This window comes from Homo sapiens, chromosome 3 (assembly GCF_000001405.40).
Source record: "Homo sapiens chromosome 3, GRCh38.p14 Primary Assembly".
NCBI lineage: Eukaryota > Metazoa > Chordata > Mammalia > Primates > Hominidae > Homo > Homo sapiens.
The window spans coordinates 158,343,021-158,359,476 of NC_000003.12; the positions used below are offsets into that span (position 1 = coordinate 158,343,021).

Sequence of the window (16,456 nt, forward strand, 5' to 3'; positions counted from 1 at the left end):
AGAGGAGTGAGCTGCAGGAGATCCTCACAGGGTGCCCCTTGAGTATTTAGCAGACTACTAATCAGTACATGCATAAGAGGAAACTGAAGCTTGGGAAATAGCCACCTAAAATGATTAGTGGGAACAATAACTGGTACTCACACACAGTTCCTGTTCTCAACAACCTTCATGGTATTTAAATAGAGTATAAAAACCATCTTCCCTTAATAGTGGGGGGAAATTACAGATGTAAAGCTGTTGTGGTCCTGCCTAACAAAGCAGGATGCGAAGGGATCAAACTACTTTCCAAGTACTTTAACTGTGTCCTAGAACAAAATTCCAAGTCTACTTATAGGAATACAAAAATATCTGGCACTGACACACAAAAAAAATGTCTGACATCCTATCAAAAATGACCAAAGGCAAGAAAATATAACATATATTAAAGAGAAAGCAAGAAAATACACCGTATGTTAAAGAGAAAAATCAGGTGAAACTGACCCAGAATTGACACAGTGATAGATTTAGTAGACAAGGACATTATTAATAGAGTTATTATAACTGTATTGCACCTGATCAGAGAGCTATACCAGAAAGAGTGAACATATTAAGTAGAGACATGGAAACTATTTTAAAAAACACACAAAATTCTAGACACGAAGGCTATACAGCTGAAATGAAAAATACACTGGATGAGATTAGGGGATATGATACATTGTAGAAAATGGATTAGTGAGCTCGAAGACATAGCAAAAGAACTATCCAAAATGAAACTAGAGAGAAAAAGAAGGCTTAGAAGAGCATTTGTGAGTTGTGGTACAACTTTAGGTAGCCAACCATACAATATACATGGAGTTGCCAAAGGAAAGGAAAGGAAGCAGCAGAAAAAGAGAATAATGAATAATGACTGAAAATTTTCCAAATTTGATAAAAACTATAAACCAACAGACCCAAGAAGCTCAGTGAACCCCAAACACACAAAAAAAGATGAATGAGGCTGGGTACGATGGCTTACGTCTGTAATCCCAGCCGTTTGGGAGGCTGAGATGGGTAGATCACTTGAGGTCAGGCCAACATGGTAAAACCCCGTCTCTACAAAATATAAAAAAATTAGCCGGGCATGGTGCCATGCGCCTGTAATCCTAGCTACTTGGAAGGCTGAGGCAGGAGAATTGCTTGAACCCAGGAGGCTGAGGTTGTGGTGAGCTGAGATAGTGCCATTGCACTTCAGCCTAGCCGACAGAGCAAGACTGCATCTCAAAAAAATAAAAATAAAAAGATGAATGAAATTACATCAAGTCACATCATAATCAAAATGCTTTTTAAAACCAGTTATGGAAAGGAAAGTCTTAAAAACAGAGAAAAATATATACTCATTATTATGCATAGAGGAATGCAAATAGGTATGAAAGCAGATTTTTCATTGGAAACAATGCAAACCACAGACAGTAAAGTAACATCATTAAAATACCAAAAGAAAAGTTTTATAAAATTTGAATTCTATACCTTGAGATAATTTCTTTCAAAAATGTAGGCCAAATGAATATTTTTAAAAAGACATACAAAAACTGAAATAACTCATCACCAAATAATCTGTACCACAAGAAATGTCACAGGGTGCCCTTTTAGCATTAGGGAAAATGACACCAGATGAAAACCTGGGTTGACATAAGAGAATAGAGAGTGAAGGAAATGCTAACCACATGGATAAATATGTCTCTTTATAAGATAACTTCTTAAAGCATCAACAACAACAATGTTTTGTGGAGTTTATTGCAATATATGACAACAATGACATTAATACTAAGGAAGCTTGGAGGGGAGAAATGAAAGGAGTATTGTAAGTTTTTGGTAGTATAGAAGAAATGGTATAATGAAGAGTTAAAGCCAATAAGCCAACAAGGAATATAAAATAGCATTATAAAATACCCAATCTAGGCCAGGCACGGTGGCTTACGCCTGTAATCCCAGCACTTTGGGAGGCCGAGGCTGGCGGATCGCCTGAGGTCGGGAGTTTGAGACCAGTCTGGCCAACATGGTGAAACCCCATCTCTACTAAAAAATAAAAAAAAAAAAAATGTAGCTGGGCATGGTGTCGGGCACCTGTAGTCCCAGCTACTCAGGAGGCTGAGGCAGAGAATCACTTGAACCCAGGAGGCAGAAGTTGCAGTGAGCCGAGATTGTGCCGCTGCACTCCAGTGTGGGCGACAGAGCAAGATTCTGTCTCAAAAAAAAAAAAAATCCAATCTAAGAGAAGGCAGAAAAGTAAATTGCAATGTGGTAGATTAATAATTACGGTAAGTGTATGTTGGTCTAAAAATTCCAATTATAAAGCACAGTTTTTCAGATTGTATAATAAAGCAAGATCCAACTACATGCTGCTTACTTAAAAAAGTACACTTTAAGTATATAAAGACATTAGCAGGTAAAAATGGTGGAAAAAGATATACCAGGCTAAAACTTAGTAATGTTAAGATGTCAGTTCTCCTCAAATTGATATGTAGAGTTGGTTCAATCCCATGCATCCTCCCAGCAGGCCTTTAAACAAAAGAAGAAAAAAGGACAACTTTATTCTAAAAATTGGGAATGCAAAGGAATTAGAAGAGCCAAAACTGCATTGAAAAAGAAGGGTAGAGGTGTTACTCTATCTGATTTCAAGAACTAATACCAAGCAATAATAATCAAGACAGTGGGGTGCTGGCATCACTATTGACAAATAGATCAATGGATCATAATTAGAGTCTAGAAAGAGACTCATCATATATATGTGTGTGTGTATATATATATATACACATATATATGTATTACACACATATATATGCATTATATATAATAATAAACAATAATATATATATTTATCATATATATATGGTAAATTGATTTTTGAGAAAAATGCAAAGTCAGTTAAGTGGAAAAAAGATAGTCTTTTCCACAGATGGTGCTGGAACAATTGGATAGCCATATATAGTACCCAAATAAAAAAGGTTTTCAGTGCACACCTTGTACTGTATTAAAAAATTAATTGAAAGTCTTCATAGAATTAAATGTAAAACAAAACTATAAAACTTCTAGGTATAAATACAGGACAAATCTTTGTGACTTCAGATTAGGTAAAGATTTCTTAAATACACCACCATAAAAGCCTGATTCCTAAAAGAGGAAATTGGCAGAGTATGGTGGCTCATGTCTGTAATCCCAGCACCTTGGGAGACCAAGGCAGGCAGATCCCTAGAGCCCAGGAGTTTGAAGCTGCAATGAGCTACAGTCCTGCCACTGCACTACAGCCTGGATGACAGAGCAAGAACCTGCCTCTTAAAAAGAAAAAGAAGGAGAAGAAGAAATTGATGGATGGGATTTCATCAAAAGTCCAGTTGGATTTTGCATATCAAATTTGCAAACTATATGAAATAAATTACTTTTGTTAAAAAACTCTGGAAACTCAATTTTGAGAAAACAATCTAATAAAAATTGGCAAAAGATTTGAACATCCATTTTACCAAGGAAGATATATGGATAATCAGTACATGAAAAGATGCTCAACACCGTTATTCATTAGGGAAATATAGACCACAATGAGACACCACCACATACCTACTAGAATTTTGAAATTAAGAAGACTCACTCTACCAAGTGATGGTTGGGATGTAGAGCAACTGTAACTCTCATACCCTACTGGTGGGATACTAAAAACACTTTGGAAATAGCTTGGTAGTTTCTTAAAAAGTTAAACATATATTTACCATATGACTTAGCCATTTCAATTATAGATATTTACCCAAGAGATATGAAAGCACATATTTATACAAAGATGTGTACCTGAATCTTAGCACCTTTTATAATAGCAAAAATTGGAAATACTTTGAACATTTATTGATAGTTGAATGCATAAAGAAATTAGGGTATATCCTTACAGTGGAATACTACCCAGCAATAAAACAGAATGAATTGTTGATAGACATAACAACATGGATAAGTTTCAAACTAATTGTGTGCTGAATTTAAAGACCAGATATGTTAAATATATACACTTTATTGTAGTTCAATTATACCTCAATAAAGCTATCTGAAAATGTTTTAGGAAAAATAGGAGTAACACATGTGCTTGGCACAATGTAGACATTTTAGTAAATAGTAAATAGTATTTCTTTTTTTACATTGTTATTTTGACTCTCTCTCTCTGATTATACTGTAAGATCCTTGAAGTCAGGAACTATATCTTTTCATCTTTTTATTCTCAACTTGTAACACAGTACCTTATATAGAAGACATAGTTTATAAAATTTTTTGAACAAATGAAAGTAATAAATTTCGGTTGATTGAATGTAGTGACAAGACTCTGTAAAGGGCCCAGTAGTACTCTAGCACCATTTCCCTATGAGATGTGAAGTTATTTCAACTATACATTCTCTTCAAACAGGAAGTTCCAATTACTCTCTTACAAGTAGGTTAAAGGTTATTTTATATTCTTTTTGTATAAAGAGAACATATGATAATATGGAATTGAGGGCAATATCAAAAAATCTGAATCTAATCTTAAATCTGATCTTAATTTTTTTTTGTTTTCTTGAGATGGAGTCTTACTCTGTCTGGAGGCAGGAGTGCAGTACACAATCATAGCCCACTGCAACCTCAAACTCCTGGGCTCAAATAATCCTCCCGCCTCTGCCTCCCAAATACTTGGGACTACAGGCTTGTATGTGTAGTGCAACTAATGGCTGACTAATTGTTTTGTTGTGTAGAGACAGGATCTTGCTTTATTGCCCAGGCTGGTCTTGAACTCATGGCTTCAAACAATCCTCCTGCCTCAGCCTCCCAAAATGCTGGGATTACAGGCATGAGTCACCACGCCCACCCCAAATGTTGTTTCTCTTTTTATTTTTTTTAAAAAAATTGAATTTTTGTGATTACGTAGTAGGTGTATATATTTATGAGATACATGAAATATTTTAATATAGGCATGCAGTGCTTAATAATCACATCAGAGTAAATGGGGTATCCATCCCCTCAAGCATTTATCCTCTGTGTTACAAACAATTTTAATTTTCTTTGTTACCCTATCTTAATTTCGATTTTTTGAAACATTGCACATCTAATTTTGTTTCCAAGTTTGAGTTCTTTTTAGGTGAGTCACAGTCTTTTGTTTCAGACTTTCTACTTTTCTCTCTTTAACAACCTCAAAAGTGTTGTTGGCAGATGGAATGGCTTTAACTTCATCAACTTTCAGAATTTCCATAGTGGTGGCCAGGGGTTTAGGGAGTTGAATATGAATGGAAGTGAGAAAGGTAAACAAATAGTTTCAATAGTTTAGTATGTAAACTAGTTTATATAAGGATAGGCTTCTCTCTTATCATTAATATACACTCATGGGTGGCTCAAAGGATTATGCTGGTTTTGAATGTATGCTTTGGCAGTATTTTGAGAATCTAGATATGCAGTAATTTATAAGGAACTGAAGAGGTAAGAATAAATCCAGAGTCAGGAAAAACTCTAGACATTGAGAATGGTCATCTCCACAGGCCATTATGAGACTGACCTATCATTTGGTTAATCTTAGAAGTTTTTGTGTGTTTTTTTAAATTATTTTATTTTTTTTTATTTTAGAGTTTGGGGATACATGTGCTTTTTTGTTACATGTTTATTACAAGTGTAATGGTGGGATCGGGCTTCTAGTGTGTCATGATCCACATATTGGACATTGTACTCAGTAGGTAACTTTTCACCCCTCACTCCCCTCCCAACCTCCTCTCTTTTGGAATCTCTAGAGCCTGTTTTCTCCATCTTTATGTCCATGTATACCATTTGTGTAGCTTGGCTTTCACTTATAACTGAGAACATGTGATATTTGACTTTCTGCTTCTTAAGTGTTAGTTCACTTAAGATAATGGCCTACAGCTTCATCTAGGTTGCTGCAAAGGACATGATTTGGTTCTTTTTTTGTGGCTGCATAGTAGTCCATAGTGTACATATACCACGTTTTCTTTATCCAATCAACTATAAGTGGACACTTAGGTTTGTTTCATGACTTTGATATTGTAAATAACACTGCAATCAAGTGTCTTTTTTATAGAATGATCTCTTTTTTTTTGGGTAATGAGATTACAGGATTGAATGGTGGTTCTATTTTTATTTCTTTGAGATATCTCCTACTGTTTTCCACAGAGGTTGAACTAATTTAAATCCCCATCAACAGTGTGTGAGCATTCCCTTTTCTGTGCATCCATGTTAACTAACGTCTGTTGTTTTTTTAACTTTTTAATAATAGCTGTTCTGAGTGGTGTAAGATGGTATCTCAGTGTAGTTTTAAATTTGCATTTCTCTGATGATTAGCAATGTTGAGCATTTTTTTCATGTGTTTGTTGGCCACTTGTATTTCTTCTTTTGAGAAATTTCTGTTCATGTTCTTTGCCCAGTTTTTAATGGGACCGTTTGTGATTCTCTTCTGTAAACCCAAGGCTTACAAATGGAGTTAAGTAGTCCAGCCGCCTTTGCTCCCACCAAATAATTATTACTAGTTTTAGCAATTTTAAGCCCTATGTGATACAAATTTCTAACAGCATTACAGTTTTCTTTTATACAGTCAAAATTATGGTACAGTATCTGTACTGACTTTTTTATTATTCATAATAGTCAGTTTTAACTTTAATATGGCCTTTAAAGACTTACACTAAAAGTTTACATTATTCTTACTGCCCTTTTTTTTTTTTTTTTTTTTTTTTGAGACAGGGTCTCCCTTTGTCACCCAGGCTGGAGTGCAGTGGCACAATCTCGGCTCATTGCAATGTCTGCCTCGCGGGTTCAGGCGATTCTCCTGCCTCAACCTCCTGAGTAACTGGGATTACAGGCGTGTGCCACCAGGCCCAGCTAATTTTTGTATTTTTAGTAAAGACAGAGTTTCACCATATTTGTCAGGCTGGTTTGGAACTCCCGACCTTGGGTGATCTGCCTGCCTTGGCCTCCCAAAGTGCTAGGATTACAGGCTTGAGCCACGTGCCCAGGCTGTCACTGATCTATTAATTCTATTAATGTCAACACTACCATTTATGTTTTAAGGGAGTCATATTTATATTCTCTATAATTCTATTTTTGTGATATTCTTTAATTATGTACTGTTGATATTGGGTGTTGGTTTTTGTTTGTCTGTTTTTTTACTTAAACAACAGAAATATATATATATATATAATTTTTTTTTTTTTTTTGAGAAAAGGTCTGGCTCTATCACCCAGGCTGGAGTACAGTCGTGTGATCTCAGCTCACTGCAGTCTTCACCTCCCAGGCTCAAGCTATCTTCCCACCTCAGTCTCTCAAGTAGCTGGGACCACAGGTGGATGACACCATGTCTAATTTTTGTGTTTTTGGTAGAGATGGAGTTTTGCCATGTTGCCCAGGCTGGTCTCGAACTTGTGAGCTCAAGCGATCTGCCCGCCTTGGCCTCCCAAAGTGCTAGATTACGGGCATGAGCCACCATGCCCAGCGTAGAACTGTATTTTCTCTTTGTCCTGGAGACTAGAGGTTCAAGATCAAAGTGTTAGTAGGGTTGGTTCCTTCTAAGGCCTCTCTTCTTGGCCTGCAGATGGCTGTCTTCTTTCTGTGTCTTCCCATGGTCTTCTATCTGTAGAAATAGTGTTTTTTAATGGAATACATTTTTTTCTCATTAAGTTTCTATCATATAAAGTACTTGTGACATTATGCTCTTAAACATGTCCCCATTTAAAATTTTTTTTGAGAAATTGCTATATTCTTTGCGTCTGTATTTGGTAATACTGTTTATTCATTAAGGTATAATTTCTGGTTCTGAATAAGATTAATACCATTTACGAATTTTAGATGAAATTTATACTGATCCTGGAGTCTAATACATGCTAAAATAACTAAAGCATTAGAAATTTTAGCACGCAGGCCCCAAAGGTATTTTCATTCTAAGCCAGCTAGTGTGATGATAGGTAACTAAAAATGGGTTGGTATGAAATTTTTTTTTAATTCTATATTCTGTTCTTTCTTCCTCCTTAATCCTTTCTTTAAAAAAAATAACTATAGATAGCAGTCACAATGAAGGCAACATAAATCAGACTGCCTTCTCTTCATTTTCATTTTCATCTCCAACTGAGCTACTTTTTCTGAGCCAGGCAGCTACTGATGCAGATAGACAGGTGGGACGCAGAGGGTTTCAGCCAAGAGGCCTGTGGTGATGCTTTCCTTCTTCTGAGACAAACTCAAGCCTAGAAACAATGGAAGGGAGCCCTTACGAAAGATTTGAGGAGCAGGTCACTGAGAGGAAAAAGACGACAGCCCAAGAATCCTATATTCATTCAACTTATTCACCAGTCACGCTAAGAAAAGGCTATTTGCAGATGGGCAAAAAGTGAGTGAACATTTGCATCTGTACAACCTATTGAAGAAAAAGGCTTGAGCAATAAATATAAGCAAAGTAAAACTATAAAATACAGATTACTTTTAAAAGTTTGATCAATGTAACAGTATATCCCCATAGTTGGAGTTCGTCCCTGTATTTCATAAATAAAATTTAGCAAGTTATATCTGCATAGGCAAATATTTTTAGAATCAAATTTCATTTACTGGGTCAAGTGTATTATTTTGGACAATTTTTTTAAACGGAATCAAAACTCTATATGCATTTATATCTATGTGAATTAATTGATTTTATTTCCTGAGTATCCTAGTGATTTAGTTAGAATGATCCTGAGATTTGGAGTCAGAGTCTTAGTTTTAGTTCATCATTTACAAGTAGAGGCAAGTTACTAAACTGCTGTTATTTCCTGGTTTTCTTTGTCTTTGAAATATGAATCCTGTATTATAAATTGTTGGAGTTATTAGTGAAAAATAAATATATCTTAACAGGTATATTTATATAAATATTATGATATATAACTATTATATAATATATAATTATATAAATATTATATATATATAAATATATATAATAGATAATTATAATATATAAATATTATAATTAGCCATCAAGACTTTCCTAGCTGGGCATAGTGGCTCACATCTGTAGTCCTAGCTCTTTGGGAGGCCTAGGTGGGAGGATTGCTTGAGGCCAGGAGTTTGAGACCAACCTGGGCAACATGGTGAGACACCAACTCTATGAAACAACAGAAAAAAGGAGCTGGGTGTGGTGGTGCACACCTGTAGTCCTAGCTACTCAGGGAGCTGAGGCAGGAAGATTACTTAAGCCCAGGAGTTCAACACTGCAGTGAGCCATGATCACACTGCTGCACGTTAGCCTAGGCAACAGAGTGAGACCCTATCTCTTACAAAAAAGAAAAAAGAATCTTCCCTTAGGAATGGTAGTGACTATATCTTCAAGATAATGGTTATAGATGTGGAGAGGAAGAGATCTTCTATAGAGGGAGACTTCATGGAGTAGAAAACTGACAATATTGCTATTAATATTTTATTGAATGTTGGGTATACATTATTATGTATTTATTTTCTATGTCTTAAATATTTCTTAATTGTTAAAAAAATCTTTCCTTATGAAATACAAAAAAAAATTAGTCATGAAATATCTTAACCAGTAAAATGTCTAGGATTTTTCTATTAAAGGACACTACTTACAAGGATGCTCTGACATGTATGCTTCCTAATTCTTCGCTTGCTTAGGATCTGCTTGAATCTGGCCCGTAAAAGTACTGTATTTATCCACATTCTGTACTGGTTTTCATGGTGACTTAAATGCTTGTGAAAAAGTAACAAATTTCGTAACCCTGGGCTTGCGTTTCTGCATGACCACAATCAGTTGGTGCTGGGTGTCAGCTGCTTCCTTTAGTTGGGGCATGTGCTTCACAGTTCTCCACACTTCCCTGTGCTTTCTGATACTAATGTCAAATGTCATTTGCCATTTATCATCATAAATGTTTGCATTAATGGCTTGATACCTGTAGACAGTTTATGACTTTTATATTCAGTAGATATCACAGTTTTCTATTGATATTTTGCTTTGATATTTTAATTTGATGTCACATATTTCCAATACTTTATAAAGCGTGCTTACATACATTTTCCCTTAAACATATGACATAAAGTAGTCTTTATTGGTTGTCATCTCCTCCTTCTCTAATAACCAATCAGTCCTTTTGTTTTACCAATTAAATATTTCTCAAATCTGTGTTGTCCTGTTTGACCTTTCTGCTATTGTTTCAGCTCAGGCCCTCCTCTCACCTGGAATTCATTAATTGCCACCTAACTGAGCTCCTTGCCTCTAGACACATTCCTTTCAATTCATCCTCAAAAATATTGCTAGAGTGATGTATCAAAGTGCAGATCTGATCACATCTCCCCTTTGTTTAAAATTTTTCTAAGTCTCTTCATCTTCCATGGCAGGGGTTGGCACACTTTAAGGTCCAGATAAATATTTTAGGCTTTGCTGATCCTAAGATTCCTGCTACAAATAATGAACTCTTATTGTTGAGTTGATCACAAAAGCCAGTAGGCACTATGTAAACAAATGGCATAGCCTATATCCCAGTAAAACTTATTTATGAAACCAGGCCACTGGTCCAGGTCTATAGTCTCTTAATCCCTGTTCTGTGATATAATACGTTCTCCCAGTCTCCTCACTTGTCTCATCTACCACTCTTCCATCTTGTTTCCTATAGGTTTTCCAGAAGGACCATTCAAATTCTTAAACTTTTCTGAGCACAACATCTTCTTTCTGTATCCAGTTATTTAATTCTTTTATTCAAGCTGGGTTTCTTTTTACAAATAGCAAAATATTCTAATATATCACATAAATTATTAGTTTTGAAGTGATTATTTTCATATATAAAACTGGGGTTATTTTGTTTATTGCTGACAACTTTATAAATATATTAATTGAAGTCTCAAGTATGGACAACAGTTTTTTTAACAGGTCTTTAGTAAAAAGTCATAGTCTTGACATAATTCATGATATAATTTGTTGTTGTTGTTTAATATGTTATCCAAAAATCTCAGAGTGTGGTCACTGGTAGGAAATTAGTTTAGTTTCTTTTTCTTTTTTTTTTTTTTTTTTTTTGAGACGGAGTCTTGCTCTATTGCCAGGCTGGATACAGTGGCACGATCTTGGCTCACTGCAACCTCCCAGGTTCAAGCAATTCTCCTGCCTCAGCCTCCCAAGTAGCTGGGACTATAGGTGCATGCCACCATGCCCAGCTACTTTTTGTATTTTTAGTAGAGATGGGGTTTCACCATGTTGGCCAGGATGGTCTCGATCTCTTGACCTTGTGATCCACCCGCCTCGGCCTCCCAAAGTGCTGGGATTACGGGCGTCAGCCACTGCGTCCGGCTGGAAATTAGTTTAGTTTCATTGTTATCAACTATATTGAATCAAGGTTCACTGAAAAAGCAATTTTAGGACAGTTCATAGGAGCCGGAAGCATATAAGCCAAATTGTGTCCTATCTTCATCACAATTGTTCCTTTAAATTCCAGTTAGGAAAGCAGAAAAGTGGTTTTAGAGTCTGACTTACCTCAAATATTGAACTTAAAGGTTGCTATTTAAATTCTCATAGATTGCTTGCCTGTTTCTATGTGCAAAGAAATAACACAACTTAAGAATATGTTGTTAAATGTGTGTGCCTTGCCTTGTTATTAAATTTCAGTTAATTATGTTATTGCTGATTGATACAATGTTGGATAGTAAGCAAAACTTTTTCTAGGAAAAAAAAATGAAAGAAGCTTATCATTCTTGCATCATATATGCAAGTGCAAGATGTGATGGATTTTAATATAAATTATGTTAAAGCTCTTTAAATTTCCTAATATTTGCAAACAAATGCATTAATTTAAAACTCCATCAATTAAAACTGACCTGTAAAAGTCTTGTATGGTTGAATTTTTTTTTTTTTCTTTTTTAGCCACCAGCTGAACAGGCCAAAGCCAGACTACAGCTGGTTCTTGAAGCTGCTGGTAAGTGTTGATAATTAACTTTTATTAAATGAAGAAGTGACGAGTAAACCCTAGGCTGGTAGCATGCTTAGAAATGAGTAAAAAAAAAAACACTATTTTTATATATCCTCACAAATTTATCAGATCTAGATTATATGTATGGCCATATATTATCTGAAATATTTATTGCCGCAGTATAATGCTAAGTGTATTGCTAACAGGTCATTCTTTACCTTTTCATTTATAAAATTGGCTTCAGTTTTAGTTTTTTATTTTGATGAAGCCCAATTGATTAATTTGTCTTTTATGTACTATGGTTTTGGTGATGTGTTTAAGAATTCTTTGACTAATCCCAGATTATGATTTTTTTCTTACATTTTCTTTCTTTTGAAAGAAAAATTAAAATGGAGGAGTTAGTCTTAAATGTAACATGTAAAACCATAAAACTTTATATTTTATGGCTTTTATTTATATAAAATATAACTTTATATTTTATGGTTTTACACTTTACATTTAAGACTAACTCCTCCATTTTAATTTTTTAAATAAGGTGTAATGTTTAGGTTGAGATTTTCATTGTTCTAAAGAAAATGAGATCAGTGTCATTTAGTAATTTCCCTAATTACATTGGACTAACTCACTGGACTGTATGTTCTGGATACCATGTACTCTTCAAGTGCTGTATGTTTTATTTCTCAAGGTACTATAATGCTGTGACTTAGATTTTAGATACCATGTTCACTTGCATATAGACATTAAATACTTTACTTTTTTAAAAATATATAAGATCTATATTTTCTGAGTGCTGATATTTTACTTTGAATCTTAATGTGCTCTTCAAAAATGTATATAACTTATTCAAACAATAAGTTTTAATGAGTAGTACAATAGTCCTCTCTTATACATGGTGGATGTCTTCCAAGCGTCCAGTTGGTGTCTCAAACCATGGGTAGTACAAAACCCTGTATCTATATCTATATTTATCTATCTATATATCTAATTTATATCTGTATCTAGATACACACACACATATACACACGCTATATTTTTTCCTATACATACATACCTATGATAAAGTTTAATTTATAGATTAGGTAAGAGATTAATAATGATAATAAAATGGAACAATTATAATAATATACTTTAATAAATATAAATGTGGTTTCTTTCTCTCACTCTCAAAATATCTTGTACTGTAATCACCTATTTTTGGACCACAGTTGACCGCAGGTAACTGAAACCACAGAAAATGAAACTGCAGCTGCAGATGATGGGGGACTACTGTATATATTTCTTAAAATTTTTTACTATAAAGAGCTCATAATTTCAAGCTGGAAAAATGAGAATTCTATTTTAACATCAAAAGTAATTTCAGACCACCAAATGATAATAGTTATATTTTTAGGATTCATTGATCAAGAAAATACATATGTGCATATTGATTAAAGGATCTCTTGCATTAGTTCTTTGTATTCTCATTTAAAGTGTCCACAGTCTAAAGATTGGGAACTCCAGTATGATCGGTATACTAGCTTCCTGAATTACTAATAGAAGTAACTTACCATGTAGGTAAAAAGATTGGCAATGTTTTAGTTTTGATGAAGTGTCTCTATACTCCTCCTTATTACTCTAAAAATAATTCATAGTTTATGTTTTTATCTTATTTATCTTTATGTAGAAAACATTACTTACTAAAATTTTGTTAATTTTTTTAATATTTTCACTCAAATAAAATATACTGTAGGATAAATCTAATTAATTTGATTCTATATCATTTACATAATATGCATGGCATTTTGCTTTGAAAAAATATTTGCAGCTCCTAATTGAGTATTCCAGCTCATAATTGAGTAAACCCTTGCTTTGAAGGAAAATATTTATGTTGCTTAGCACAGAAAACATTTGTTTCCACAAATGCAATTTTAAATAATTTTATTTCATAGTTTTATTCAGTTTTTTAAAAATATTTAGTATGATTTTGAAGCACATTAGAAAATAGATGTGATACTCCAGACCTCACAGTGTATAACTTGCTTATATCCATCTGAGTTGTCATCCCTAACATTTAACTTCAATGTTCTAAATTGTATCTAAGGATAAAGAGCTAGATTCTGTGAATTTGAGAAGCATCCAAAATTATGACAATTTTCAAGTTAAAAAATTTATTTTGGCCTAGGCCCGATAAGCAAAAGACAGACCTTAGCTAAATACTCAAGTTTTTAAGTCACTCTTTTTTATTGAATATTTATGTTGTTCAACTTTTCCCTCTTACCAATAACACTGTAATGAACACCCTCTTATACATTGTGTTAGTCATATTCTATTTTATTTTGGGGGGATTTGTTACTATAGAAATGAGTTTATGAGGTCAGAGGGTATTAACATTTCAGGTTGGTCCAAAAGTAATTGCAGTTTTGGCAAAACCTCAGTTACTTTTGCACCAATTTAATAGAATGGCTTTTTGTACATTTTTGCTGTATTGTTTTATAAAGCTTTGTGCTACTTTTCATTGCCACTGGTTAAGTAATCGTTTTACTAGAATTGCTTTTTGATACCAGTTCCGTGAATATGTTGCTGTATAATATGATATAACATATTACACCTTTTTGAAAAATATCCAGTATTGTTTTTAATGAGAACTTGTGGCATAGTAGAGGGCAAGTAGATGGATAGGTAGGGGAAGAGTACATAGCTAACTTACTGTCAAGATTCTAGTTGTCTTTTTGGTGATGAATTTTAAGGTGTTCATTATATTATTAAAAATAAGCAAATAAATAAGAAGAACTTGAGACCTGTCTGGTAAGTTTTGCAGTCCAGCCTAGTCTCAAGGTTGAGATAAATGGATAGGGAAGTCTAGTAGTACCCATTGTCACATTGGAGTTCACTTAGGTTCCTAGGAAAAACACCTTGATTTGGGGGCCTTAAAAGTGGCCATGGGCAAAGACTTCAGGCCTTATGCTAGATTCTTGACGCAGGATTAATTTTAGCCTTACAAGCAGCATAACTTGATAGATAAGGTTAATATGTAGAAATCCTACGATTAGACTTAGTTGTTTACTCTAGCTCTGAGTCCCAGAAGAAAGTTTTATATTTAACTATTGCATCGTAATTGATATTAGTAAATGTTAATAATGTTATTGGTTTGGAATTAAAATCTGTTTCGAATATTTAGCCACGATTTTTAGTGGTATGATTCTGAAAGGCATATGAAGGACTAAAATAAGATTTAAAAAAATGTACCTATAGGGTGTTATGATTATTATATCAAACATAAATTTGAGTCTGAGATTTTATTGTATTTGGGTTAGGAACATACTTTATATGTGCTAAACTATTACATATTTGTACTTTGGTTCAAAACTTTGAACATTTTCTTTGACTCTTTTATAGGCGATAATTCACCTGGACTTAATTATTCTGATTTTGTGTAATTTTTTTGTATTTATCCCTTTATTGTCTCTCCCACTGCCATCTCCTTAGTCTAGATGCCAAACATTTCACTCATGGCTTATTCCATTACCTCCTAATTGGCTTCCTGCTTCAATTCTATTACTTCTGTAGCGAGACACTAATGAATAGTGGAAAGATCCTAAGCCTGCCATCACCACTTGTTCTGTAACTTTGAGCAGTTTAATGTTTATTGTTTAGCCAGAACAGAGGGTTTTTTTAATCAAATATGACAGATGTGTGTTTTTTTCTAGTTCATTGAGGTGAAATTTACATAACATAAAATTAATCATAATTGCTTAAAATGAACAATTCAGTGGCATTCAGTACATTCACAGTTTTGTACAACCATCAATTCTATCTAGTTCTAAACATTGCAATCACTCCAGAGTGAAACCGCTTACCTACTAGCAGTTTCTCCCCAGTTTCCTTTCCCCCAAGCCCTTGACAACCACCATTCTCCCTCTGTCTCCGTTTGTCTATTCTGGATATTTCATATAAATGGAATCCTATAATCTGTGACCTTGTGTGTCTGGCTTCCTTCATTTAGTATGTGTGTGTATGTGTGTATATATATATATACACACAAACATACACACACACACACACACACACACAACTTATTAATCCATTGATAAAATTTGGGTTGTTTCTACCTTTATTCTATTGTGAGTACATTTGAATATGTGTGTATATGTACTTGTTTGAGTACCTGTTTGGAGGTTTTTTAGGTGTATACCTAGGAGGGTGATAGTGGGGTCATTTGGTAATTCTATGTTTAATTTTCTGAGAAACCACAAAACATTTTCCATAGCAGCTGAACCATTTTACTTTCGCACCAATAGCAGTGTATAAAACAGTTCTCTATTGCCTCAACTATACCATATCACACATTTAAGTTACCTATTTGAAAGTATTTGTATTTGGGGGCTTCTCTTTACCATAATTTCTTTATCTGTAAGAGCGAAAGATAATAACTGCCATGTTGGACTGTTATGAAAATAATAACACATGAAATACCTAGCCCAGAGCCTGAAAAGTGGTAGCCACCAGAAAATTTGTATTTCATCTTGATTTTTGTAGACACCACTGCTAGATGATTCTTTGGTGTTATCGGATCTTTGGGGTGTTGCTTTTCTGGC

At 34.2% G+C, this 16,456-nt stretch overlaps 1 protein-coding gene across 5 annotated transcripts in view, besides 1 other annotated feature; it reads left to right on the plus strand.

Moving 5' to 3' along the window:
* RSRC1 (arginine and serine rich coiled-coil 1) overlaps nt 1–16,456 on the plus strand; it is a 435,642-nt gene that overhangs the window by 232,932 nt on the left and 186,254 nt on the right. For all 5 annotated transcript variants that reach the window (NM_001271838.2, NM_016625.4, NM_001271834.2 and 2 more), the window contains one exon: nt 11,837–11,888. In NM_001271838.2, the coding sequence (NP_001258767.1) occupies nt 11,837–11,888 (52 nt within the window). The remainder of the gene's footprint in view (nt 1–11,836; nt 11,889–16,456) is intronic.
* Nucleotides 9,595–9,644: an enhancer, noted in NCBI's record as "active region_20746". NCBI's record gives its function as "activates an Ori minimal core promoter by ATAC-STARR-seq in GM12878 lymphoblastoid cells {active_cell/tissue: GM12878}" and the evidence as "EXISTENCE:reporter gene assay evidence [ECO:0000049][PMID:35858748]".